At 45.0% G+C, this 27979-nt stretch overlaps 1 protein-coding gene across 19 annotated transcripts in view, besides 4 other annotated features; it reads left to right on the top strand.

The window, feature by feature from the left end:
* Nucleotides 9276-9555: a silencer, noted in NCBI's record as "silent region_18868". NCBI's record gives its function as "represses an Ori minimal core promoter by ATAC-STARR-seq in GM12878 lymphoblastoid cells {active_cell/tissue: GM12878}" and the evidence as "EXISTENCE:reporter gene assay evidence [ECO:0000049][PMID:35858748]".
* Nucleotides 9676-9765: a silencer, noted in NCBI's record as "silent region_18867". NCBI's record gives its function as "represses an Ori minimal core promoter by ATAC-STARR-seq in GM12878 lymphoblastoid cells {active_cell/tissue: GM12878}" and the evidence as "EXISTENCE:reporter gene assay evidence [ECO:0000049][PMID:35858748]".
* Nucleotides 9916-10015: a silencer, noted in NCBI's record as "silent region_18866". NCBI's record gives its function as "represses an Ori minimal core promoter by ATAC-STARR-seq in GM12878 lymphoblastoid cells {active_cell/tissue: GM12878}" and the evidence as "EXISTENCE:reporter gene assay evidence [ECO:0000049][PMID:35858748]".
* Nucleotides 9932-27979, top strand: part of NCAPG2 (non-SMC condensin II complex subunit G2) — a 73636-nt gene continuing 55588 nt past the window's right edge. For 8 of the 19 annotated variants that reach the window (XM_047420547.1, XM_017012376.3, XM_005249547.4 and 5 more), the window contains exons 1-7: nt 9932-10012; nt 12798-12914; nt 21239-21427; nt 21780-21894; nt 24014-24168; nt 24783-24917; nt 27294-27388. In XM_047420547.1, the coding sequence (XP_047276503.1) occupies nt 12837-12914; nt 21239-21427; nt 21780-21894; nt 24014-24168; nt 24783-24917; nt 27294-27388 (767 nt within the window). In that variant the 5' untranslated portion in view covers nt 9932-10012; nt 12798-12836. Of the gene's footprint in view, nt 10013-11033; nt 12489-12797; nt 12915-21238; nt 21428-21779; nt 21895-24013; nt 24169-24782; nt 24918-27293; nt 27389-27979 lie in introns of all 19 variants that reach the window. The other 11 variants (XM_047420548.1, XM_047420546.1, XM_047420544.1 and 8 more) reach the window with 3 other exon arrangements.
* Nucleotides 10593-11171: an enhancer, noted in NCBI's record as "NANOG-H3K27ac-H3K4me1 hESC enhancer chr7:158496256-158496834 (GRCh37/hg19 assembly coordinates)". NCBI's record gives its function as "activates a minimal SCP1, AML or CMV promoter by ChIP-STARR-seq in primed H9 embryonic stem cells {active_cell/tissue: H9 hESC(primed)}" and the evidence as "EXISTENCE:reporter gene assay evidence [ECO:0000049][PMID:30033119]".

Genomic DNA, 27979 nt, shown 5'->3' with positions numbered 1-27979 from the left:
TTTCCTTTGCTGTTTGGAAGCTGTAGGTGATATTATTTGATTGGTTAAACTCTTTCGGTATCTGTCTTTCTAAACACAAAGGACCGTAGATACTACAACTCAGTGTGTGCTCTTCCAGAGTTTTAGTTCCAATATTTTTCCTTTTTTTTTTTTTTTTTTTTTTGAGATGGAGTCTCTCTCTGTCACCCAGGCTGGAGTGCAGTGGCGCAATCTCAGCTCACTGCAAACTCCGCCTCCCGGGTTTACGCCGTCCTCCTGTCTCAGCCTCCTGAGTAGCTGAGATTACAGGCGTCTGTCACCACACCTGGCTAATTTTTTGTATTTTTAGTAGAGACAGGGTTTCACCGTGTTAGCCAGGATGGTCTCGATCTCCTGACCTCGTGATCCACCCACCTTGGCCTCCCAAAGTGCTGGGATTACAGGCGTGAGCTACTGCGCCCGGCCAGTTCCAATCTTTTTCAATGCAAAAAAGTCATTATCACTTTATAGTGATTGTTAATAACATCTAAGGGTGCAGATGGGCAATTTCTGTGCTTGTTTTTATTTCCTGGATTCCATAGCTTTCCTTGAGTTGACTTTTCTTCTTTAATAATTCTTTATGGAGAGTCTCTGGGTACTGATTCCCTTGGTCTTTTAAGGACTGAAAATGTCTTTATTTGCCCTTTTCCTTGAATAATTAGTTGGCTGGTTTTAAAATTCTGAGTTGGCAGTTACTTTTCTCCAGCACTTGCCTTCTGGTATTTACTGTTGATGATTATTGTTTGTAATAATCTTCACATCCAATAATTATTAAATCATTCACATCTCTTTAAGCAATCTGTCTTTTCTGTCTGAAAGGTTTTAGGCCTTTAAAAATAGCTTGATGTTCTACAATTCCATTGTAACTTACATAGGTATGGATTTATCTTAATTAATTCTTTTCATTGCTTAGTGTGTACTATCAATCTTTTTTTTTCTTTTTTTTTGAGATGGAGTCTCACTCTGTCGCCAGGCTGGAGTGCAGTAGCACGATCTCACTGCAACCCGTCTCCCAGGTTCAAGCTATTCTCCTGCCTCAGCCTCCCAAGTAGCTGGGACTACAGGCGTGCACCACCATGCCTACTTTTTTTTTTGTATTTTAGTAGAGACGGGGTTTCACCATGTTGACCAGGATGGTCTCGATCTCCTGACCTTGTGATCTGCCCGCCTTGGCCTCCCAAAGTGCTGGGATTACAGGCATGAGCCACCGCACCCGGCCTTTTTTTTTTTTTTTTTAATTGAGACAGAGTTTTGCTCTTGTTGCCCAGCCTGGAGTGCAATGGTGCGATCTCCGCTAACTGCAACCCCTGCCTCCCAGGTTCAAGCAATTCTCCTGCCTCAGCCTCCCAAGTAGTTGGGATTACACGCACATGCCACTGCACTAGGCTCATTTTTTGTATTTTTAGTAGAGATGGGGTTTCACCGTGTTGGCCAGGCTGGTCTTGAACTCCTGGCCTCAAGTGATCCACTCGCCTTGGCCTCCCAAAGTGCTGGGATTACAGGTGTGAGCCACCACGCCTGGCCCCCTTCAGGCATTTTAAAGATTGACATTCTAGTCCATTGGCCTGGGTAGTCTTGGGCATGCAGTGGCTGTGAAGACCCCTGCCTGCTGTGAGGTGGAGGCAGCAGCCAGAACTCACTCCTCAGTGCGGCATCCGAGGAAGGACTTTCCTGGCTGGGAGTCATGCCTGTCACCCGTGGCTGCCTGGCTGGGTCCCTCCCGCCAGCACCTACGTGGGCCCATTGCCCCCAGGGATTTCTCAGAGACACGTCACACTCGTTCTTAAAATACTTCAGAGAGGGCCAGGCGCAGTGGCTCATGCCTGTAATTCCAGCACTTTGGGAGGCCGAGGCGGGTGGATCACGAGGTCAGGAGATCGAGACCATCCTGGCTAACATGATGAAATCCCGTCTCTACTAAAAATACAACAACAACAAAAAATTAGCTGGGCATGGCAGCGGGCGCCTGTAGTCCCAGCTACTCGGGAAGCTGAGGTAGGAGAATGGCGAGAACCCGGGAGGCAGAACTTGCAGTGAGCCGAGATTGCGGCACTGCACTCCAGCCTGGGCGACAGAGCGAGACTCCGTCTCAAAAAAAAAAAAAAAAAAAAAAAAAACTTCAGAGAGATTCCACCACCCATTGAATAAACCCCAACTTCCTGGTGTGAACCCCGGCGACAGTTCCTGTTTCCAGCTTGTTTCACCCCTTGCCAGTCTATGCTGGCAATGCCCGTGTTTGCCTGGCACTCACATGCCGCCCTCTGCCTGGCAGGCCCCTCTCCCTTCCAGCTTCAAGCCCCCGGCAGCATTCAAACCTACACTCTGGCTACACAATGGAATCACTCTGTCCAGCCCACCGCCAGCGATTCTGACTTAATTGGTCTGGGGTAGGGCTAGGTTTTTTGGTTTTAAGAACTCGGCGATTTTAAGTTGTGTTCAGGATTGACAGTGAGTGTTCTCGAGTCTGTTTAGATACCACGACCCTTAGGAAGCCTTTATAACATCTTTCTGCCCTGTGGCACCACCCAGGACTCTGGCTCACGTTGTCCCTGAGGCCAGACCCATGGATATGGGCTTGACTGTGCCTGGTGCCACCAGCACTGCATCCCCTTCCCCTCAGCTCACCAGATCCGAATCCCCACCTTGGCTCCTCTCTATTCATACTCTTGCTGGTAAATTTTTATTTATTTATTTTTAGTAAATTAATTTCTTTTTGAGATGGAGTTTTGCTCCGTTGCCCAGGCTGGAGTGTGATGGCGTGATCTCGGCTCACTGCAACCTCTGCCTCCCAGGTTCAAGTGATTCTCCCGCCTCAGCCTCCCGAGTAGCTGGGATTACAGGTGCCCACCACCACACCCAGCTAATTTTTGTATTTTAGTAGAGACAGTGTTTTGCCATGTTGGCCAGGCTGGTCTCGAACTGCTGACCTCAGGTGATCCACCCACAGGCCTGAGCCACCATGACCAGTCATAAATTTTTTTTTGAGAGGGAGTCTCGCACTGTCGCCCAGGCTGGAGTGCAGTGGTGCGATCTCGGCTCACTGCAACCTCCGCCTCCCGGGTTCATGCCATTCTCCTGCCTCAGCCTCCTGAGTAGCTGGGACTACAGCCTCCCGCCACCACGCCTGGCTAATTTTTTTGTATTTTTAGTAGAGACGGGGTTTTGCCAGGATGGTCTCGATCTCCTGACCTCGTAATCCGCCTGCCTCAGCCTCCCAAAGTGCTGGGTTTACAGGCATGAGCCACCGCGCCCGGCCGTGAATTTTTTTTTTTTTTTTTTTTTTTTTGAGACGGAGTCTTGCTCTGTCGCCCAGGCTGGAGTGCATTGGCGCAATCTCGGCTCACTGCAAGCTCCGCCTCCCGGGTTCACGCCATTCTCCTGCCTCAGCCTCCCGAGTAGCTGGGACTACAGGTGCCCGCCACCACACCCGGCTAATTTTTTTGTATTTTTAGTAGAGACGGGGTTTCACCATGTTAGCCAGGATGGTCTCGATCTCCTGACCTCGTAATCCGCCTGCCTCAGCCTCCCAAAGTGCTGGGTTTACAGGCATGAGCCACCGCGCCCAGCCGTGAATTTTTAATAACAGCTTTATTGAGATACAGTTTTATACCATAAAATTTACCCTTTTAAGCATACAACTGTGTGGCCTTAGTAAACCCACAAGGTTGTGCAACCATCACCACTATCTAATTTTAGATAATTTTCGTCACCCCAAAACCACAGCCATTAGTAGTCACTCCCCACGCCCTCTCCTCAGTCTCTGGCAACACCTAATCTGCTTCCTGCCTCTGTGGATTTTACAGTCATGTGGACCTTCCATATAAATGGAGTCCTACAATCCGTGACCTCCGTGTCTGGCTTCTCTCACTGAGCATGATGTTTCAAGGGTCATCTGCACTGTAGGGGTGTCAGAGCCTCATTCCTTCTACAGCTGAGTCATATTCTATTGTGGGAAAAGACCACACTGTGTTTCTCCATTTGTCTGTTGATGGACACTTGGGTTGTGTCCACTTTCTCAGTCATGCTATGAGCTTTAAGAGGACAGTGATTGTCCCGCGTTAACGCCTGGCTTGGGCAGGTGCTGAGGAGCCACTCATCGCGCAGTCCGATTCTCAGCTGTTTCAGGTTCAGCCTGGAGCAGGAACCTCAGCTTTATTGATTTTATACTCGAGTCATTCACGTTTCCTCTTTTTACATGTTTTCTGAGATCAGTTTCTTCTAACCTGTGCATTAGGATCACTTGGGGAGGTTAAAAAATATGAATGCAGGCCGGGTGTGGTGGCTCACGCCTGTAATCCGAGCACTTTGGGAGGCCGAGGCGGGAGGATCACGAGGTCAGGAGATCAAGACCATCCTGGCTAACACAGTGAAAACCCGTCTCTACTAAAAATACAAAAAAATTAGCCGGGTGTGATGGCGGGCGCCTGTAGTCCCAGCTACTCAGGAGGCTGAGATGGGAGAATGGCGTGAACCTGGGAGGTGGAGCTTGCAGTGAGCCGAGATTGCGCCATTGCACTCCAGCCTGGGCGACAGTGTGAGACTCTGTCTAAAAAAAAAGAATGCCCAGGGAATCCCCGGTTGAATTGATCGATTTGATTGAGTTGGCCAGGAAGCCTAGCCTTTAGTATTTTTAAAGCAGCTGAAGTAGTTTTCATGGGCAGCCATGGTTGAAAACGTTTGCCCTCGATGGTTTATCTTGTTCTCCTTTGAGTAACCACTAAGGAGATACCCCTGAGCTCACCTCCCGTGCCTGAGCTCCGCATCCCTGGACCCATGCTGCGACGTCCCCGAGGACCCCAGGGGGATTGGGGGGGGGGCTGCTCACTTTCCTCTTCACTTTTGCCCCTGCAGTCTTCCCTAGGTCACAGCTGCAGGTTGTGTATGAAAATTCCTTTATCGAAAGGCCGGGGATCATGTTAAAGAGGAATTCAACCTAAGAGGGGGAAGAAAACCACTTGCACTGAACAGGAGCTCCCCAGAAGTCCAGAGGGCCCTGCAGAGCCTGGCTCGCCCCACCATTCCCCTCCCCTCACTGTCGGGGACACCAGGTGATGGTATCTGTCTCAGCACCCCCAGTTGTCACCCTCCACCCCTTCCCAAGCTCTCCCTAAGTGTGGCTGTGCCTCCTGGGTTCAAGCGATTCTCCTGCCTCAGCCTCCCGAGTAGCTGGGATTACAGGCGCACGCCACCATGCCTGGGTAATTTTTGTATTTTTAGTAGAGACGGGGTTTCACCATGTTGGTCAGGCTGGTCTCAAACTCCAGACCTCAGGTGATCTGCCCACCTTGGCCTCTCAAAGTACTGGGATTACAGGTGTGAGTCACTGCACCTGGCCTCAGGTATTCCTTCATAGCAGTGTGAGAGCAGACTAATACAGCTTCCTATGTGCTGGAGAGACTCCTCCCCTTCTTGGAGCCAGTGGCTCACTCTGCTGGGCCAGGCCCTGTGTGGCCCTGGAGACCCCTCCTCCGGGCCCCCGGCTGGTGTGACAGAGCCCTCACAGCTGCCCTGCACTGGGGGGTTTTGCCCAGAGTGGCTTTGAAATGGTTATTTTAACTAGGATTCCATGAAGTTCCTAGCTAATGACTTCTTGTTGGTTTAGCTTATTTTCCATGTTACAATTATTATAATTAAATTATAAATCTTGTATTTTCTTATACAGGCAAGGGAAGGGTTTCTGAGAAGCTGATAACAATGGTTTCCTTTGGAGCAGAGGGCTGTGTCCAGGGGGTCTCAGAAGACTCTTCTGTATACCTCTTCTTGCCATGTGAGTTTGAACCGTGTGATTGTGTTACTTGTGCAATTCAAAATAAACTAAACTTAAAAAAAAAAAAAAACCCTGCAAACCCTATGCTTGGCTCACTATGAAAGATATTATATTTTTGGCCGGGCGTGGTGGCTCACGCCTGTAATCCCAGTACTTTGGGAGGGTGAGGCGGGCGGATCACGAGGTCAGGAGATCGAGACCATCCTGGCTAACACGGTGAAACCCCATCTCTACTAAACAAAATACAAATAATAATAATAATAATAATAATAATAATAATAATAATAATTAGCCAGGCGTGGTGGCGGGCACCTGTAGTCCCATATACTCGGGAGGCTGAGGCAGGAGAATGGCGTGAACCTGGGAGGCAGAGCTTGCAGTGAGCCGAGATAGCACCACTGTACTCCAGCCTGGGCAACAGAGCGAGACTATGTCTCAAAAAAAAAAAAAAGATATTATATTTTTATCAAAGATATTTTTGCCAAGTTTTATACCCTTTGAAACTTAGTTTTATATTGCCTTGCCATGTGGTCCACCTTTAATTCTATAAACCTTTTCTAATTTACCACATTGTAAGATTTTAAGAACACAGATGATCTCATGCCTCATTCATTCATTTATTCAGAAAATATTTTCTTCAAGCATCTAAAATGTGCCAGGCCTTACGCCACGGATATAGGACTAAGGATGACACAGTGCTTGACATGGAGGAGATGATGAGGCCTGTGGTAGGGGGCTAAGAGATTGCATTACAGTGAGGGTTATGGGGTTCAGGAAATAAACCCCTATAGAAGGTAAAGCTTGAGCTGAGTTCTGGAGGAGTGTCATCTATTTGCGGGGAAGGTCACATTCCCAGTGAACGGTGATGGCAGCGGGAGGCAGACAGGTTCCTGGGTGGGAAGGGGCAGGTCCCTGGTGAAACCCCACTTTCAAGCCAGGGACAGCCTGAAGTTCCTGGGCCAGGATGCCAGTTCCTGGTGAAGTCCGAGATCCAGAAAGAGAACTTACTTGATGCCTTTCAGCCAATCAAGTAGTGCTTTTTCCAGGCCTGCCCATGGGCCAATCAGCACACACTTCCTCCTGTCTATGGACCAATCAACATGTACTTCCTCCATTCTGAGCCCATACGTGCCTGTGGATAGGAGCTACCCACTTCGAGTCTCCTCTCCACTGAGAGCTATTTGGTCAGCTGTTCTCTGCCTTGCTCACCCTCCAGATGTCTGCCAAACCTCATTCTTCCTGGACATGGGACAAGAACTTGGAACCTGCTGAATGGTGAGAGCAAAACGAGCTGTAATACTTTCCTGGCCAGCTTGCCAAGTTGCAGGTGGGAGCCAAAGTGGCTGTAACGGGTTCCTGGCCGGGTCGCTGAGCTGCGGGTGGTGACACGCTCCCAGACTGAGGGAGTGAAGAGTGGTGACCCTTGTAGAGGCCCAGGCCTTGGGATTCCCCAAGCCAGAGCTATAATGCTATAGCCCTCCCACCCTCTGCTGGCGCCCAGTGGCCACCCCATGCAGTGGGAAGCAGCGGTGGGGCCGGGACAGCCAAGGAGCCGTGGACCGGTGTGGGGCGGCAGGACCAAAAGACCTGTAACACAAATGAGGTGAAACATGCCGCCCCGGAAACACGACCCCCTGCTAGCCACGCTGTGGGTGATGAGAAGGACAGAAGAGCTGTGGCCCTTCTGGGAGCCCAGACCTCGGGGCTCCCCGAGCCAGGGCTGTGACACAGTGTAACCCCCCTTTGGGGCTCTGTGGCTCCTGGCATCTGTGAGCTTTCGGGTGCCACCATGTTCCCCTTGTCCAGATGCTGATGCCTGCAGTGGAAGCCACTTGTGGTACCTCTGGTCCAGCCACAGCCTTGCATGGAGCCGGCAGCTGTGCAGGCACCTAGAGCTGCCTGCTCCACCACAGCAGCTGCATGGCTGGGTGTGCGCAGTGGTTGGACCCCATGCTCGCTTGCTCACATACCCCTTGCCGCTCTGCACCTGGCTCACCCTTGGCAGGCGTGGGATCTGGGTTGGTAGTGCAAGCCGAGTGCAACCTGCTGGGCTGAGTGGGCTCGAGCAAAACTCTAGCAGAGGCACCGCTGGCCACGGAGGTTTCTAGCTGGTGAAGCGATACCCAAAGGATCCTATGACATTAGTGGCTGCATGGGCAGGTGCATTGGGGGTGCACTGGGCGCTCCTGCTGCCCTGCTTCCACGTGCCTCTGAGCACTGCACTACATAGACATTTAGGCCTCATAACAACCCCCTAGAGGAGGCTGAGCTCTGCATTATACAGACATTTAGGCCTCATAACAACCCCCTAGAGGAGGCTCAGTACTTAAGTAGGTCCCATTTGATAGATGAGGAAACTGAGGCTCAGTCGTCCATGGCTTGTCAAAGGTCACCAGCTAGTGAGCACAGAACCAGGTTAGCCCAGGTGGTACAGCTTCAGAGCTCACATGCGTAACTTGTTACATTATTCCTACTCAGGAAGTGGAAACCCCAGGAACAGATGGCTGATTGGAGGAGGGACCAGCATAAGGAAAGGGGCAGGATTCAGGGGTGGGAGGGGAAGTCGATATCTGTTTTGGATGCATGTCAGCACCAGCGTGGGAGTAGGCAGTGAGCTGTTGAAAATTCTGGAGTTCAGAAATAACCGTGTCTTGCAAATCCAGATGCAGAGGTCACTGCTTGAAGGTGGCAGTTTGCACCTTGGATATGAAGGAAATTGCTAAGAAGAAAGCAGTGAGAAGATGAGGGCACCAAAATTCAAGAAATGGCAGGGAAGGATCTGTGTATGGAGGGAGGAGGAGGTCAGAGGTGGCTGGAGCCCCAGGATGAAATAGGCAATGTTAGATATCGGCCACCTGTTGACAAGGGTCCCAGACTCAGCATCCTCTGAGTGGGTCTTCTCCCTCCCCTCTGCAGCCTGCCTTGCTTCACTGTTGCAAGCTTCCTAGTAAACCAGTCTTCTCCCTGCTATAATTTTATATTGCTTGTTGAAACGATATTCCAACAAGTAACATAAATATTTTTGATATACTAGGCTAAATAAAACATATTTAAAAATTAATGTCACCTATTTATCTTCATTTTTCTAATGTGGTCACTAGAAATTTACAAGTGCACTTGTGGCTCCCATGATGTTCCTATTGGTTGGTGCTGTGCTCCCACAGTGCAACGACTTCAATCTCGCCAAGACCTCTGGCTTGAGTTAAGCCAGGAAAACAGATACCACTCTAGACATCTCAAGCATGAAAGAATATAGCTCCAGGGAAGGCCAAGTCCTCACGAAGGGATGCAGAGCTCGGTGGTAAAGAGCACCGTTTTCTAAGAATTTGCTTTCAACAAAAATTGGGAACGCCCAATCAAGTTATTCGCTGACACAAATTAAAAGAGATTGATACATCAGTATGTGATTTTGGCATTTAAGTCCAAAGAATTGAATGACATTGCTACTCCTCCTTCACACGGGTGCCTCCGAGGGTCCCCGCTAAGGCCTCTCCCTCTCCACCCTATGGGCAGCTGACCTGCCGGGGGCCTCACCTGCTGGAGGAGCAACTGCAGGAGAAGCACCTGTTAGGGGCCGCACCTGGCCGGAGGGGCTCCTGCGGGGGAAGCACCTGCCCAGGGTGCACCTACCGTGTGCAGGCTGCGGACCACCCGGACAGGTGCCCCCTCGGCAGGGAGGGCGGTCACGGGGGCCGGCCAGGTCGGGGTGGGGTCCTCCCGGGGATCCAGACACGGCCCTGTGGCCTCTCCCCGCCCCAAGCCTTTCCTTTCTCTCCCCCTCTCTCTCTTCCTCTCCTTCCTCCTTCCCACAACACCGCCCGCTCGCAGCGCCCCGCCCTCTCCTGGACCGCGCACTCCCTCCGCGGAGGCCCCAGGACGCGCACGAGCGCGCAGTGGACGTCGGCGCGCGGACCGGGCATGGGTTCCCCAGCTGTGGCGCCCCGCGTGCGCGTTCCGTAGTGCCCGGTAGGGCACTGGGCTTAGCTGCTCGAGGCCGCGCCCTAAGAGGCGGGGCATAGACAGGAAGAAGACTGGCGGGCATGTGGGCGGGGCATGATCTGGAGGCGGGGCGGGCCGGGCGTGTGGGCGAGGCCCGAGGCTCGCGGCGCCCCAGCTCTCGCGAGAGCGGCGCCTGATGACGACCGGGAGGGCGGGGCCCGTCTGGGGCGCCGGCGGGTGCGTTTGAATCTGGTCCGAGCGCGGGAAACGGCGGGTCCCCGAGCCCAGGTAAGAGCTGCGGTGCCGAGCCGGGATTGGGTTCAGAGCAGGGGCTGGGAAGTAGCAGGGATCGGGCGGGAAGCCCCTCCTCGGCTGGTCGGGGTCCCAGCCTCCCCTCCCCTAAGGAGGCGGCCGACCTGCGTGCGGGCAGTGCTGCCTCTGACGGAACTGGACGGAACTGGCGACCCCGGGCCATCCCCCCTACCCAGCTCAGCGACGCCCGTCCTTCTTGTCCGTGTCGGAGGAAAATCCCAGCCCCGGGCGCGGGCACTGCCCTCAGAGAGCGACCCCCCAGCCCTGAGCATGGGCACCGTCCTCAGAGAGTGTCCCCTCAGTCCTGGGCATGGGCACTGCCCTCAGAGAGCGACCTCCTCTGTCCTGGGCATGGGAACTGCCCTCAGAGAGTGTCCCCTCAGTCCTGGGCATGGGCACTACCCTCAGAGAGCGACCCCCTCAGTCCTGAGCATGGGCACTGCCCTCAGAGAGCGTCCCCTCAGTCCTGGGCATGGGCACTACCCTCAGAGAGCGACCCCCTCAGTCCTGAGCATGGGCACTGCCCTCAGAGAGCGACCCCCTCAGTCCTGGGCATGGGCACTGCCCTCAGAGAGCGTCCCCTCAGTCCTGGGCATGGGCACTACCCTCAGAGAGCGACCCCCTCAGTCCTGAGCATGGGCACTGCCCTCAGAGAGCGTCCCCTCAGTCCTGGGCATGGGCACTGCCCTCAGAGAGCGACCCCCTCTGTCCTGGGCATGGGAACTGCCCTCAGAGAGAGTCCCCTCAGTCCTGGGTGTCGGTACTGCCCTTAGAGAGAGTCCCCCTGAGCCCTGGGTGTAGGCACTGCCCTCAGAGAGTATCTCCCCAGCTGTGGACGTGGGCATTGTCCTCAGAGACATCAGTCTCCTGAACTCTTGTTGCTGGTTTGGTGCCTCTTGTTGTGTCCATGAGGAAGGAGTTTGGGGACGGAGTGGGAAGTCACAGGTGGTGAGAAGGTAACAGGGATTTCTTCTTTTTAATGCTCATCTTGATTTAGTACCAGACCTCCTGTGCGAAGAGTAACCTGCTCTTCGGACTGATAACTGGATGGTGAGATGACTCCTTACCTTGAAAGTAGCATTCTGGCTGCAGGGCTGAGGTCTTATGCACATATGGTACAAGAAACATGGAATATTGCCACTTTGGGAGATAGATTGAAAAATTAACCATTAAAAAATTACAGTCACTAATATAAGAGGGAAAATGGGAAATATAGGAATAAGTTTGGTAGTCTAGAGGAAGTGTATTACTGTAAGTTGGACTAACATGCCAAAGAGGTACACTTGGAAATAGAGCAAACAAGAAAAGTGACCAGAACTATGAAAAAGTGGAGAGTGTTCACAGACTTGCCGGGCGAAGATGTATGATTCCATGTGTTTGCTGCACCTTATTGGATTATTTTTCTAAAATCATGAATTTGTCCTAGCCACTATTCATTATGCTTGTTACTGGCCACTCTCCCTTCCCTCCCCATTTTCTTTGTCAGTGAAAAATGTGCCAGTCATGCTTGATTTAAAGAGGGAGACACGTTGTCGTTAGGCAATTTCATCATTGCATGAACATCACAGAGTGGACTTGCCTACACCTAGAGGTGTAGCCTACACACATAGGCTGTATGGTGTAGCCTACTGCTCCTAGAATGTTACTGTACTGAATACTGTAGGCAACTGTAATACAATGGCAAGTATTTGCATCGCTAAACATATCTAAGCATAGAAAAAGCACAGTAAAAATATGGCATTATAATCTTATGGGACCACGGTCATACATGTGGTCTGTTGTTGACTGAAATGTTATGTGGTCCATGACCGTAGTTCATAGTTCAGCCATTTGAGTTGAGGAATGAGATGACCAGACTTCACTGTTAACTTATTTCGGGAGTCATTAAACTGAGGTTATTTTTGCTTTGTTCAATTTGGACATTAAAATCTAGTATTATATGTTTAAGATGACTCTCTGTCCCCATAATTATTGGCAATAATTTTCCATATTGCTCTATTTATAATGGTGCAGGTGGTTTTCATTTATTTTTAAAGTGAGGGGGCTCCTACTGCAAATGTGTTCCATCATTTGCTATTACCTCATCTTTAGGTTGATGTTTTTTCAGTAGGGCACCAGTAGCACCAGGTATTGTGAATGCGAAATAGAATTTCCTGGAAAAACACAGGCAGGATGGAGGGTATACAAAGTCCCCTGAGCTCTCATTATCCCGAAGGGGTGGGAGGAGGGTGCTGTGGTTGAGCATGCCTAATGCATAGTCTAACAAGATCCCAGGTGACCCCCGGGGCCACTGTTTTCCATCTCACTTTGAATAACAAGATGACACTAACAGTGGGATTTTTTTGATGGAGGAATGGCCTTTAGAAAGGGAGCATCTTCAGAATCTGCAGCTGGGATCAGATTGTTCTTTTGTTGAATCAACTCAGCTCTGCCGAGCCAGCATCTTGCTAAGGTACTAAAAAGGGAGAGATGGTGGTGAGCTTCCTAAGGCTATTTGGATTTCTCCCTCCTTAGTTGGTAATTTTATTAACAATTGTTGATAAAATATCATTAATATCATGTTATTCACATCCCCAGTAAAGGAAATAAGTAAATTGTTTTTCAGATATTATAGCGTGTTTTATGTCAGAATGTTTTTAGAAACTGTCTGCCATACGTGGTTGAGGAATTTTCTTGCAGTTCTTGGATGTTAATATCAAATTAAATCTTACAGGAAAAGATATATTTGCAAGTGTTTCAGTATGATTGTGTTTTCCATTAGGGTTACAAAATAAATGCCATTTGAACAGTGCCATCTGTCATGGAAAAACGTGAGACGTTTGTACAAGCCGTGTCTAAGGAGCTGGTTGGAGAGTTTTTGCAATTTGTTCAACTTGATGTAAGTTTCATGTTTTAGTTTTGTTGTGATTTTTGACTGTGAATATGAAATATGTTCTAAAGTCATTATGTCCCCAAAAGAAACATAGTTATCTCAGTGAATCCTTAGCGACCAATGTTTATTTGAAAGAAGAAAACAAAACCCTTTATACTCAAATCTACCTGCTGGTGGGCTACGCTAAGATGTAAAAGATAAACAGAAGTTAACCAGTCAAAGAGGGATGTTGGGGGAAAGGACCCATCTAACAAAGAAGGTCACTCTGAAGACTAGAGAAGGTTTGTTGTGTTTGAACTTGAAGTTCAGCAGGAAGGCAGAAGATGAGGCTGGGGGCTAGGCTACACGAGTCTTTACCATTTTAAGGAATTCAGACTTTATCTTGAGAACGGTGGGTGCTTGAAGCAGGGAGCGAGCTGTAGGCAAGGGAGGAAGAGAACAAAAGAGAAGGAGAGAGAACTAGTGGACAAAATAGAGGTAAGGAGAAAAATATGGTTTGCCTTTTGGAAATATTCCTCTGACTACAAGTGAGAAATATGTCAAAGGGACATATTTAAGGCTAACCTCTTAGGTTGTGCTCTTCAAAATGATGGTTGAATTAGGAACTGGAAATGGGAAGCTGCTTGGTAGTGAAGTGATGGCACTATTGGACTGATTGGATATGGATATGGTGGGGAAGGGCCCAGGCGTCTGACTGTGTAGTACCATTCAGCAAGCTCATGAACGTGGGAAGAGGGCAGATTCAAGGGAGAATGTGGCTCCATTTTGGAGGTACCAGATGACTGGTGGTGGGATGTGCACCAGCGGATGGCCAGTAGTCAGACATGCACGTCTGGATACCAGGGGAAAGGGCTGAGCTAGAGACAGGTTGGGCATGGAAGCCTAAGTCATGGGAATGCCTGCAGTTATCTCTGTAGAGTTTCAGATAAAAGGGCCTAGGACACATCTCTGAGGAAGCCAGCATTGGAGGCACTGACTCTGAAATACGAAAGTATCTTTGGGGCAGGAGACCCTTGGCACACTTGTCTCACTTGTTCTTATTATGTGGTGAAAATCAAATTAGTGACAAAGAATTAGAGGAATCTAATAATGAATTTGTTACTGGCAACATTTAAGAAATCATTTTTCTTTATAAGAGAAATGAGCTTATAACATGTTTTGGTATTATAAAATGATATCCTGTAAACTTAAAAATAATCGCAAACTCATAGGCATCTCATCACCATAGAAGTGTTTATAAGAGCAAATTAGTTAGATAATATATAAATGTCTGCTTTAGCAGTAGCAGTGTATATGGATTGTATTGGAAATGCAGTACATACATATTTTAAAGTCTAAAAGATTGTTGTTGCAAAGTGCATACCATAATGTTAACAAAATCACAGAAAACTAAATTGAAAATCAGAGGTAAAAATAGCAACTCAAAATCACACTGGTGGCCACAATGACAGGTGCCCTTCTGGGGTGCGTTGTTTCCAGCCACCCGTTGTGTGCCAACCAGCCTTTGCAGTGTTGCTGGAAAGCCAGCAGACATCTCAGGAGAATACTGAATTAGTCCTTATACTAATGAGGCATTAACTCTAGTTTATCAATAAGCTTTATTAACACTTAACAGTTCAGCTTAGTACCTAGTCACCGTGTGGCTCTTACGTGTAAAAATGAAAATGTGTAGGATTGTGCATCACGTGGTTTCATCAAGTTGAATGACAGAAATGCCATTTTATATAATAATGATGGTTTCCCATAGTTCAATTTGATAAGAATTTAAATCAGTTTGGGGCCTATCAGGTAGATCTTTCCAAGTACAGTTAGTTCTGCTGTAATCCCACACATGCATTACCAACAGTCACTGCACTCTGCAGAATTGGTTAAAATAAATAAATAAATAAATAAATAAATAACCCAGAGAGATTATGGGGAAAATGGAGTTAGAGGGACAACACTAAAAAATTTTGCCAGTGACATGTTAAAAACAGGAACCTAATAAAACAGTAGCATAATTTTATATGTTAAATCAGTAAGAAATGCATAAATACTATAGTAAGCATGGCACTTTACCTTGAAAAATATTTACATTCTATAGTTGGGAGTAGGTGCCTGTGCTCCCAAGGTACACCTGCCCCTCTGTGTGTAAGAGGAAGAAAATGAGGTAGAACAGAGGAGAAAAAGGCAAGCAAGGCAGAGGGGAATACAGAGCATTGGAGAGCACGGTGGGCCTGGGGAGGGTGCAGTGCAGTGGGGTTGGAGCCTTTGGGTCATAGCAGGTGAGGGGCACAATGTGTGGCCCAGGTATGAATGGACTGAGCTGGTAGGTGTCTGAGTTGTGTTTCATGGGATCCTGGTGGCTCCAGTCAGTGGGTGCAGTTTTCTGCATTCACCTGGTATTTCTTGCCTATGAAATCCCACATAAGCAAATGGGAATTTGCCTTTGGTCAAATTGTTCCTTGATGTATTGACAATGTTGGAACAAATTTTTATTTTCAAGCAAGTGTTCCAGAGTGGAGCTGATTATACTGTATGCCCTTGTCCTTCTTGGAGAATCAATGATGGGGAGGAGGACACAGCACTGAGGAGAATTCCATCATTTAACAAACATGTCCTAAGTGCCTTCTGTGTGCCAGACACTGCACTGAGAGTTGGGGTTATAGTACACACAAAGAAAAGTTTCTGCACAAATGGGGGTTTATGTTCTAGTGGTAGAGGAAGAAAAACAAGACACATAGAGAAATAATAAAGCAGGTGGAGGCTGGGCACAGTGACTCACCTCTGTAATTCCAGAGCTTTGGGAGGCTGAGGCAGGAGGATCGTTTGAGGCCAGGATAACACTGGCCTGGGCAACATAGTAAGACCCCGTCTCTACAGTAATGTTAAAAAATTGGCCTAGTGTAGTGGCTTGTGCCTGTGGTCCCAACTACTTGGGAGGCTGAGGCAGTAGAATTACTTGAGCCCAGGAGTTTGAGGCTACAGTGAGCTATGATTGTGCAACTGCACTCCAGCCTGGGTGACAAAGTGAGACCCTGTCTCAAAAAAAAAAAAAAAATACTACTACTACTGATAAAGCAAGTGGAAGTGGAAGTTGGGAACGATGGAGTGGCTAAAGAAAACCTCAGAGATGATATTTGAACAGAGTTGGTACAGTCACATGACTCTTGATGAGGATAGGTTCTGAGAAATGCATCATTAGGTCATTTCATTGTTGTGTGAACATCCTAAAGTGTGCTTACATACACCCAGATGGAGCAGCTCAGTACACACCTGGGCTAGATGGTACAGTCTACCGTCCTAGGCTACAAACCTGTGTGGCATGTTACTGTACTGAATACTGTAGGCACAGTGTTGTAACACAATGGTGTGTGTCTAAACATTGAAAAGGTACAGTAAAAATACAGTATAAAACATAAAAAATGGTACATCTGAATAGGGCACTTAGTGTAGCTGGAGCTGGCACAACTGGAAGTTGTTCTGGGTGAATAACTGAGTAGTGAGTAAATGTGAAGGCCTAATACGTCATTGTACACTACTGTAAACTATAAACACATTACACTTGGGCTACAGTAAATTTATAAAAACATTTTTCTTCAATAATAAATTAACCTTAGCTTACTGTAACTGTTTTACTTGATAAACTTTTAAAATCCTTTATAATAACACTTAGCTTAAAACACAAACTTATTTTGCTTTACAAAAAATCTTTCTTCATTTTATTTTATTTTAACTTTTATATTCAGGGTTACATGTACAGGTTTGTTACATAGGTCAACTTGTCTCATGGGGGTTTATTGTACAGATTATTTCATCACTGAGGTATTAAGCCTAGTAATTAGTTATTTTTAGTTATTTAGTTATATTAGTTATTTTTCCTGATCCTCTCCCTCCTCCCACCCTCTACCCTCCAATAGGCCAGTGTGTGTTGTTCCCCCGTGTCCATGTGTTCTCATAATTTAGCTCCTACTTATAAGTGAGAACATGCTGTATTTGGTTTTCTGTTCCTGTGTTAGTTTGCTATGGATAATGGCCTCCAGCTCCATCTATGTCCCCGCAAAGGACTTGATCTCATTCTTTTTTTATGGCTGTATAGTATTCCATGGTGTATATGTACCACATTTTCTTTATCCAGTCTATCATTGATGGGCATTTAGGTTTATTCCATGTCTTTGCTAAAAATACTCTCTTTATACCCCTATTTGATAGCTTTTTTCTATTTTTACTTTTTTTTTTTTTTCTTTTCAGTTGGAGCCTTGCTCTGTTGCTCAGGCTGGAGTGCAGTGGCGTCGTCTTGGCTCACTGCAACCTCCGCCTCCCGGGTTCAAGTGATTCTCCTGCCTCAGCCTCCTGAATAGTTGAGATTACAGGCACACGCCACCACACCGGCTAATTTCTGTATTTTTAGTAGAGACAGGGTTTCGCCATGTTGGCCAGGCTGGTCTCAAACTCCTGATCTCAGGTGATCCACCTGCCTTGGCCTCCCAAAGTGCTGGGATTACAGGTGTGAGCCACCATGCCCAGCCATCTATTTTTACTTTTTAAACTTTTTTGTTAAAAACTAAGACACAAATATACCATAAGCCTGGGCCTGTACCAAGTCAGGATCATCAGTATCACTGTCTTCCACCTTAACATCTTGTCCCAGTGGAAGGTCTTCAGGGGCAATAACAGACATGCAGCTGTCATCTCATCTCCTATGATAACATTGCCTTCAGGAATTTCTCTTGAAGCACCTGCCTAAGGCTAGTTTACAATTAACTTAAAAAAATGTAGAAGGAATATACTCTAAAACAATGATAAAAAGTAGGTTTGTTTACACCAACATTACCACAAATGTGATTAATCTGTTACACTATGATGTTTTGACAGCCATGACATCACTAGGTGATAGGAATTTTTCAGCTCCATTATAATCTTATGGGACCACTCTCATATATGTGGTTTGTCATTGACTGAAATATCACTATGCATTGCCTGACTATATTTGATCAGAGATCCAAATGGGCCATGCAGAGATTTGGGAAAAGAAGATTCTAGACAAAAGGAATGGGAAAGGCCGAGCCCCTGAGGCAGGGCACATTTGGGAAGCTAAGGGTGTGGACTTAGGAGGAGGAGGGTGGCAGGGTTAGGGTGGAGAAGTAATTTCTTTCCTGTTGAAATAACTGCTAAGTTAAAAGAAAAGTTGCAAGAGGAATTCAAAGGAATCCTGAATACCCTACGTCCAGGTTTGCCAGTTTTTACCACTTGCCACATTTTCTTTATCATCCTTTGTATTTACATTTTTTTGAATCACTTGAGTCAGTTGTAGGCATTGTGCCTCTTTATCTCTAAACATTTCAGTTCGTATTTTTCTAAAAGATATTCTGTTATATAATCACATTAAAATCCTCAAAATCAGGAAATTTAACATTGTGGATAATCCTGTTAAATAACCCTCTGCAGCCTATGTCCTCTCCTCTTGAATCTGGATTGGGCTTGTGCCTGCTTTGACGGACGGAATATTGAGGAAGTGGCCTTCAGAAAGTTTGGCAGCTTCTACTTCCTCTCGGAGCCCGTGGTTGTCATGTAAGAAGTGCAGGATCACCCTCTGCTGGAGAGAGAGACCACACACAAAGGCTGGAGGATGAGACTGCAGAGGGAGACCTCATTAGTGGGCACCAAAGTGCCAGACATCCAACACCCAGCTGCCACCTTAAGCACAGGCATGTGTCCCCAAGAGTGAGCATCTGATTCATGAGATACAGTAAAATTGTTGCTTTATGCTACCAAGTTTTTTGCTACGCAACAAGACTTCCCCTGCTTCATACACATTGTGCCAGTCACAAGAGGATACCTCCCTCTGGGCATATAGACTACAAAAAGGCACCTTGCTGGGGCACAGGTGGCCAGGGCACTCACACAGGGAGGAGAGGCCCTGCAGGATGTCCACCCCACCGGCCCCTCATCCTGGTGCGCTCTGTACAGCACAGGGCTGCACAGCTTCTGCATCCGGGGGCTGGAGGTGGTTGTGGAAGGATGCCCACAGGCAGCTCGCTAGTCTGCACGTGTTCTTTCTAACTGCTGGGCTTTTGTGTTGCCCTGCCTTTGCCCAGTGTCCTATGGCCCTAGAGGCCTGGGCCGTCACTGCTAATGTCGTGGCAATGCCAGGCAATGACCACCCCAAGGCCATGCTGGGGAGAGGTAGAACATTTTGATATTTGAACAGCTTTTGTCCCCCATCCTTTCCTTGCCCTTCCAGCCAGCTCTTCAGTGCCCTAGGCAACAGCCACTCATTTCTCACATCCCCAGCTCCAAACAGCCTTCAGTGAAGCTGGGTGTGTGTCTCATTTTGTTGCTATAGTTTGTTACTGGAACCTCTCTCACTCTCATTTCTTCAGGGTTGATTTTTCAGGAAGGAGTTAGCAGCCCATCCTAGTTTGTCACATAGGTGGATGGGCAGCTATTTCTTTTCCTTCAGGCTATATCCTTCAGCATACACCTCTAATAGATTTTAACAATCTGTAGGTTGTTATTCTTGCCCCTAGACTGTGAACTTACTCAGGGCAGGGTGGGTCCTGATTCGTTTCTGTGCCCTAACCATCAGTCAACTAGTATTTCCTGATGTAAGCGTCATGAATCAGCCCAGTCATTTCTCTGGTCACCTTCAGTCACCAGAGTTTGCCCTGAATAGAACCTCTTGATCTTTGAACACAGTAGCTGTGGTCCATCACCCAGATGAATGACCCCAGCACCAAAACTGTCCATTGATATACTGGAAAATTACCATTAATGGACTTAAGCGGGCCATTAACTTATTTTTTCTGCATAATTGAGGCGTAAAGAATTATTCAATTGTTCATGATTGAATGTCGGGTCTATAGGTAGATCAAGATACTGTCTAAGGTCAAACATTTGAGAGCTGGTCTGTGTTTGCATGTGATTGACAGGCAAAGGCTTAAGGAAAATGGAGAGGAGAATTGAAGGGGAGGAGGGTCAAGGAAACGAGGAAAGAGAGTAGATAGAAGTGAACAAGCGGAGGTGGAAAAAGCTAGATGAAAAATGAAGGAGCGCTAAGAAGAGGAGAAAACAAACACCAGGGCAGGAGAGGAGCTAGGAGAGCAGGAAGAGAGGATGGGGGGATGGAGGGCTTATGAGGTTATCTTTACTCTAGTTCCTCCATCTTACTGTGTTTTTTATGACCCCGACAGTTTTGAAGAGTGCAAGTGGCTCTTTTGTGGTATAGCCTTCAATTTGCATCTGTTGAGGATCTGATTAAATTTTAGTGTGCATTTTGGCAGGAACTGCTTAGCAGTGTTAGGTCCTCGGCGCTGTCAAGACAGGAAGCGCATGGCATGGTCTGTCCGTCCCTGTGTGGGTAGGTGTCCGCCAGGTCTCTTCTGGGAACCTGCCTCTGTGGGAAAGTGGTGACACTGTAATGTCCTGCTGCTCACCAGGCTTCCACCCACTTGTTTCAGCATCTCCCGATAATTCCTGCCAGAGTCCATAATTATTGTGATGGCTATAAAACAGTGATTTTCTAACCCTGTATTGCATCTATGTTTATTCACTGACATTCTAGAGCATGCAGGTGCTATTAATTAATGATTTGATATTTATTATCAGTATGCTGTCATTGATTTTTTCTTTTTAGAGACGGGCTCTTGCTATGTTGCCCAGGCTGGAGTGTAATGGTACAATCACAGCTCACTGCAGCCCTCTCTCCCAGAGTGGTTGGCTTGGCCTCGTTTATGCTTATTTCATTCAACTGGTTATAATTAATCACTGTCACTGTTTTGGTGCTCACATTGTTCCAAATTTGGCTATAGGGAGTCCCTTTAATTGGATTCTATGCCCTTTTGATGAGGGCCGCTATTTGCTTCATCAAAGAGTACGTGAGGTCATCTCAGATAAGAGGAAATGGGTTTAGAGGGTTGTTGGAGGAGATCTGAAATCATCTTGTTGGCTGGTGGGAGAGAATGATATTGAGGAATGAGTAGAAGGTGGTGTTGAGGGCCCACTTGGGGCTGGAATCTGTGGCCACAGTATTATTATTGCCATTGTTATTGAACTTTAGCCTACTTTTGTAATCTAATTCTAGGTATGGAGATGGTGGACATTTGGGTCCCTTTTAGGGAGGGTTTTGCTAAGTGGGTGAAATTTTAAAAACTCTGAAGATTAGGATGCTAGGAAAGAATAGGTGGAGAATCCCTGTGCTTCTTCCCTTTTAGGAATGGATTTTGAATACTGCAACCAAACTCTTGAACTTGTAATGAAGTTAACACTTAACTTTTCTTTTGATGACATTATGAAAAGGATATGATTAATTTTTTGTATTTGAAATGTGACACTTGCTATTTATGTTACAGAAAGAGGCCTCTGATCCTTTCAGCCTAAATGAATTACTAGATGAATTATCAAGGAAACAGAAAGAAGAATTATGGCAAAGGCTGAAGAATTTATTGACAGATGTGTTGTTAGAAAGCCCAGTGGATGGGTGGCAGGTAGTGGAAGCCCAGGGTGAAGACAATATGGAAACCGAACATGGCTCAAAAATGGTAGTATTTGTTTTTCAAAAATAAGAAACGTTTTTCTCTTTTTTTTGTCAAAAAATAACTTCACTGTGTATCATTGAATTTTACATTAAGACAGATTTTGAAGTTAGAAGTCAAGAATTTTAGAAGTTTAGTCTGTTGTAGTTTTATTCACTTTTCAACCCTACTGTTATTAATCTAATACTAAATATTGCTGTTCTTTTAGGATGATTTACTTTTATTCAACTTTAATTCTTTTTAGAATAAGCTAGAATTGTGGCTTGATTTTTAGAAAATTTGTAACTGAAATTTCTGCTAAAAACTGATTTTAAGTTGATGATTTTAATTCACTCATGCTTTGATTTTTCATTTATAGAGAAAAAGCATAGAAATAATTTATGCAATTACATCTGTGATTCTTGCTTCTGTGTCTGTAATAAATGAAAGTGAGAACTACGAAGCCCTACTGGAATGTGTTATTATATTAAATGGTGAGTTGATTTTGTTATAAATGGCATATTTAGAAGTGGGTGTTGAAATACTTGTTTTTGTTTCTGTTTTTATTTATTCATTCATTTATTTATTTTTTTTGAGACGGAGTTTCGCTCTTGTTGCCTAGGCAGGAGTGCAATGGCGCGATCTCAGCTCACCGCAACCTCCGCCTCCCGGGTTCAAGCGATTCTCTTGCCTCAGCCTCCCTAGTAGCTGGGATTACAGGCATTCACCACCACGCCCGCCTAATTTTGTATTTTTAGTAGAGACAGGGTTTCTCCATGTTGGTCAGGCTAGTCTCAAACTCCTGACCTCAGGTGATCCACCCGTCTCAGCCTCCCACGTGGCTGGCCTGAAATGATACTTTGTAAAAGGAAACTAGTTGTTTTCATGAGCATTGTTGAATTTAGTAGCAGAAGTTGTATAAAGGTATAGCTTTGCAGTCAAGTTCTTTTTCTTCAGCTAGAATAGGAGCATACTTACATAAGAGTTGTCCTGAATACTTATTTATTTTATATTTATCATTTTTTTTTAGAGACAGAATCTCGCCCTGTTGCCTATGCTGAAGTGCAGTGACATGAACCCAGCTCACTGTAGCCCTGACCTCCTGGCCTCTAGCTATCCTCTCACCTCAGCCTCCTTAGTAGCTGGGACCATGGCCCATGCTTTTTGTTTTGTTTTGTTTTGTTTTGTTTTTTGGTAGAGACAGGATCTAACTGTGTTGCCCAGGCTGGTCTCAAACTCCTGTGCTCAAGTGATCCTCCCACCTTGCCCTGGCAAAGTGCTGGGATTACAGGCATGAGCCATTGTGTCTGGCCTAATTAGTTTAATTTAAGCTCCATTCAGATGTTATAGATGGTGAGATGGGCAGTACTCAGCAACTAACTGCTATTTACAGGTTTTTCAGGGAAGTCTGACTTACTGGACCAATGATCAAGAACTTGTTGAGAAGAAAATACCTGATTATGTGATTACCATTGCTAGATAGTGTCAACTTAACTAAGAATTTGTGACACTGAATTTTTTCTTAAAGTATGTTGTGAACGTGATCTGAGGAGTGATTATTGACTCCTAGGGGAGTTTTACTGTATTGAAATTTAAATGATGGTACTTTTCAAGTTTTAACAAAACTGTAAAACTAGTTATTAATTTAGTCTAAGTTAATGAAAATATTTGATTATGAAATATATAAAATTTTAGTTACAAAAGATGTAAAAATATCTTAATGATTTTTAAGAAAACTTTTCACATACCCTCATCCTTCACTGTGCGAGTGTAATTAGTTTGTTGTGACAAAGTATCTCATCAAGCTTCTTATTCTTAGCATCACTTGGATTTATGTATGTTTTATAGTACATTGTTTTATTCTGAATTCTTGAGTTGAAATACAGTGTCTTATTAAAAAGTCACCCCAATCATAATGAAAATAGCTTCCAAATGCTTTGTGAATTTTACTATCAGTTTATTTGTATGGTCTGCAAATAACTAGTGAAATGATTAGTGCTAACACTGTAGTTGCTATCAACTTCCCAGTTAATTCAGGAATGTTATATTAGTGTAATGACATTCAGATACCTACAGATTATAATTATGAGCATTAGTATCATTAATCTAATTATTGAGCTTTTCTGTTAATAAAAGCACTGCAGTTTTTGTATTCATTATGGTAATTGCTTTGACTGTTTTTCACCTCTGAGCCAAAATTTGAGGCTGGCACATTGAGGGATAGTAGTGGATTATTGATTGGTCAGTAGACCTGTCTTGGCTCTGGTGTTAACAGAGATACCATTGGTGTTGTTACACTGAGGTTTGGTTAGCCTCAGCATCTGCCTTTCTAAAATTGGTGATACGATTTCTCTGAGACTTCCAGTTCCAAAAATCTCTTTTCTATTATGTCTGTTGAGGGTCTTTTTATAACAATCGTCAAACAGTTTTTTAATTAACATTATTTGCATTTTATAACTAATGTATATAAATCTTTGGCAAGTTAAACATAACTAATATTATTTGCTTAGCAAAGCTTTAAATAATATATAAAGTCATGATACTCTAAACTGTTGACTCTGAAGTAATAAGAATTTGCCTTACTAATTGGAAAATTACTGTGCTGTATTTTAGGTATTTTATATGCATTACCTGAGTCTGAACGAAAACTACAGAGTTCTATTCAGGATTTGTGTGTTACCTGGTGGGAGAAAGGCCTGCCTGCCAAGGAAGACACAGGAAAGACAGCCTTTGTCATGTTACTAAGGAGGAGTCTGGAGACTAAGACAGTATGCTCACTTTTTATTTTTTTAAAGACAGGGTCTCTCTCTATTGCCCAGATGGAGTGCAGTGGCATGATCATAGCTCACTGCAGCCTCAAACTCCTGGGCTCGAGCAATCCTCCTGCCTCAGCCTCTCAAGTAGCTGAGACTTCAGGAGTGCACCACCTAGCTAGGACTTTATTTTTAAACGTCTTCCTAACATTCTAAACCTGCGCTATTCAACGTAGTAGCCACTTGCCACAGAAAGCTGTTTAAATTTAAAGTTAAAAATAATGAAAAATTCAGTTCCTCAGTTGCATTAGTCACATTTTAGTAGCTCTACAGTGAAATGTGGCTAATGTCTACTGCACTAGACAGTTCAGATGTATAAAATCTTCATCATCGAGGAAGTTCTTAAACTTGCTGGATTTTTAATTATTTTCCTTATGTTTTAAAAAAATGTTCTGTAGAGCTATAGGGGGCATTTGCAAATTTTAAAATCTGTTTTTATTTGTCGTTATTTTTTAATCTTTGATGAATCAACTAGAATTACCATTATTTATGATATAAAATATACTTGATTTGAAATATGACTTTACTGTTCATTGAAAAAGGTATCACATTTTTTGTGTCATTCCTAGGGTGCAGACGTATGTCGGCTTTGGCGTATCCATCAAGCTTTATATTGCTTTGATTATGATTTGGAGGAAAGTGGAGAAATTAAAGATATGTTACTTGAGTGCTTCATAAATATTAATTATATCAAGAAAGAAGAGGTAAATAGGTATTTGTTTTTTGATCTGTTTGTGAGCTGCTTCTTAATAGATGTTTCTCCTGTGTTCACATGGTTCCTGTCTGCACCATGCTCGGTGTTGCTTAGCTACCAGGAGCTATTTACTGCACATGATTTTTACTGCATGGCAGTACTAGAGAAGACATTTTACAAGTCCTTGCTTATTTCATCATTAAATTGGATGGTAACAGGTGGCTGTGTGTTACCTAGGGGAACCGTAATTACATTTTAAATTAAGAATGATTAAAAATAAGGTTGAGAAAGCACTTCTCTATGAATGAGATCTGGCCTTCTGCCCTAATTCCATTTTAATTGCCATGTACTCAAAACTGTCATCCCATAATATCCTCCCTTTCTTTTTTCTACCCATCCTGTAAATCCAGAGAGGCTTCTGGCCTGTTGCTGCACTGCCCGTCCTGGGGTCAACTCCCATATGAGGCTACTGAGCACCTGAAATGGGACCCAACTGAACTGAGATTAGCCATAAGTATAAAATACACATGGATTTGAAGATTTAGTGGGAAAGAAATGAACATAAAATAGCTCATTAATAATTTTTGTTCTATACTTAATATAATAGACAATATTTTTATTGTCTGTTATATTAAATATTGCTTTACATAAAATATATTATTAAAATTAATCTTCTTTACTTTTGTTAACATGACTACTAAAGAATTGAGAATTACAGAGAGGCTCGCATAGTTCTTCTGTGTTAGGGGCCTTCTGCAGTTGTTTACTGAGCGTCGACTACATGCTCAGGCAGTGCCAGGGGAGACTAGAACAAGCTTTTGCATTTGGATGCTCATGGCTCAGCAGGCACATCTCTGAGGCAGAAGGAGGAAGTCATCCCTCCTCCCTGAAGGAGGTGGAGAAGGGCTTCAGAGGAAGAGGAGGACCAGCTCTGAGGTACAGAATAAGTTTCCTCCAGGTGTCACAGCTGCTCAGCGGCAGAGACAGAACTGGACCCCGGCGAGCCATCTGCAGTCTGCTAGACAAAGGGCCATGTGATTAGGACTGAGACCTTTGGCTCCCAGGGTCTTTGTTCACTTTATAGGTGGTGCCCTTGGTCAGGCCTTTCAGCCTCAGAGTTTTGTTCTGTAAAATAGGAGCAACAGTTACTGTTTCACAGGATTGTTGTTAGGAACAGATGAGGTAATATGTATCAAACCGCAGCCCAGGCGCTGGTGGATAAGAACCCCTGGGGAGGGCTGCCCTTTGCCATCCTTGCTGTGTCAGCACCATCGTTATTACAAAGATGTTGGACACAGCCTGTGCCCCACACATGTCTCCAGGATTGTTCTGAAATGGGAGAGTGAAGAAATTAATGATGGATTCAAACAATAAACTATTTTATGTTGACTTATACATAAGGAGTTGATGAATCGTACTTGTTAACTTATATATGTGTGCAGATATATAACAGACATAAATGTATGTATGTGTTATAACCTCTACCCTTTTTAAAAAATTGATGTCTCCTTTGAATTTAAGATATCTAAATGTAGTTTCCTAATCAATCATTAATTTGGTCAGGTCAGTTTCCAGTCATTCTGGGTAAACCATAAACATCTTGTACTGTACTAACAGATTACTTCCAGTGAATATTACTGTTTTTTTTTTTAACTTGCCTGTTGTGAGCATGGTTACCCTGCATTTGAATCAAAATGTATTGCATTTCTGTAGGATTCCAGTTCTGTGCAGTGGTGTGCTGGTAAGAGATGAAGGTGCTATTCACTGAGAGAGTTCTAGATAGATGCATCTTATGCACTCTATAGAGTATGAAGATTGTATTCATTCTTCTTAGGTTCAGATACATAATCTAGTAGCATGCATATAAATTATCATCACATGATGTATTTATGACTTGAAGACTGTGTATTTGGAAATTCTAGCTTGACAAACACTTAGCCTTTTAACTATATGAGTCCTCAGTTTTCTCATCTATAAATGAGAAGGTGAAATGAACTGGGATATTCAACTCCATTCCCACCCACCTATGCTAGATTTAAAGCTTTCTTTCATTTGAGACTATGGAACCATCCATGACAGAGCCAGAATGAGATGTTTATGGACCCATGGTTACTGTCTGTGGTCTCCATCTCTGCACCTGTGGCCCTTGAGGACAGAGGCGCTCAGTGTAGCGGCTGCTCGGCCCTGGGGGAGGTGGCTTGTGTGGCTCCTGGCTGTGCAGGCCCCGCAGACAGCTCAACTCGTGCATGTGCTCTCAGTGATAATTACATGTGCCTCGTTTTTAGCAATAGCAATGTTTAGCTTACTAGACGTTCAAATAATTGTTTGTTATTTGGCACTTTTTATTTGGTTGCAATGTAAACATTCTATCCTTTTTTATTTCTAGGGAAGAAGATTTCTTAGTTGTCTCTTCAACTGGAATATCAACTTCATCAAAATGATCCACGGGACCATTAAAAACCAGTTACAGGGATTACAAAAGTAAGTGTTAAAAGTACTGAAGATTTTGTGCTGTCTTAATCTGGTTTTGAAAGATTCCATTTGGTCTGACTTCTTAAGTTATAGTAATGGATTAGAAGCTTTAGAAATACGTTATTTATTATGTACCATTGGATCACTGGGTAGCTTTTTCCTTTTATAGGAAATCATTCTTTTCCAGTATTGACCACTGAAATTAAGGTTTTAATTTGTGGTAGTTCTTTAAATAGTTAAAATAGTTTCCAGTTGAACCTTAGCCTCGCTCGTAATAAAGCCATGTCCATGGTACTTTGAATGCAATGTGTGCTTTTTGGTTGAACGTGGCCTGGCCAGGGTGGCTTCTCGGAAGAGCCTGTGGAATCTGCAGGAGCAGCAGGGAACGTTGCAGTCATGACTCTGCCACTCCCTGCGTGATGGAGATGTCAAGTGTGTGCTTGTCGTTTGCCAGGCACAAGGCAGAGTACTTCATTTGCTCCAGCACTGAGTACTTAGTCTCCATTTTAAAATTTAATCCTCACAACTCTCTTTTGAGATAGGCTTTGCTTTCTAAATTTCCCAGTGTCAGGCAACTGTATAAGTACCAAGTTGGGATCT

This window comes from Homo sapiens, chromosome 7 (genome assembly GCF_000001405.40).
Source record: "Homo sapiens chromosome 7, GRCh38.p14 Primary Assembly".
NCBI classification, from domain to species: Eukaryota; Metazoa; Chordata; class Mammalia; order Primates; family Hominidae; genus Homo; species Homo sapiens.
The sequence above is the reverse complement of the archived record's forward strand: the minus strand, read 5'-3'. Positions and strand labels throughout refer to the sequence as shown.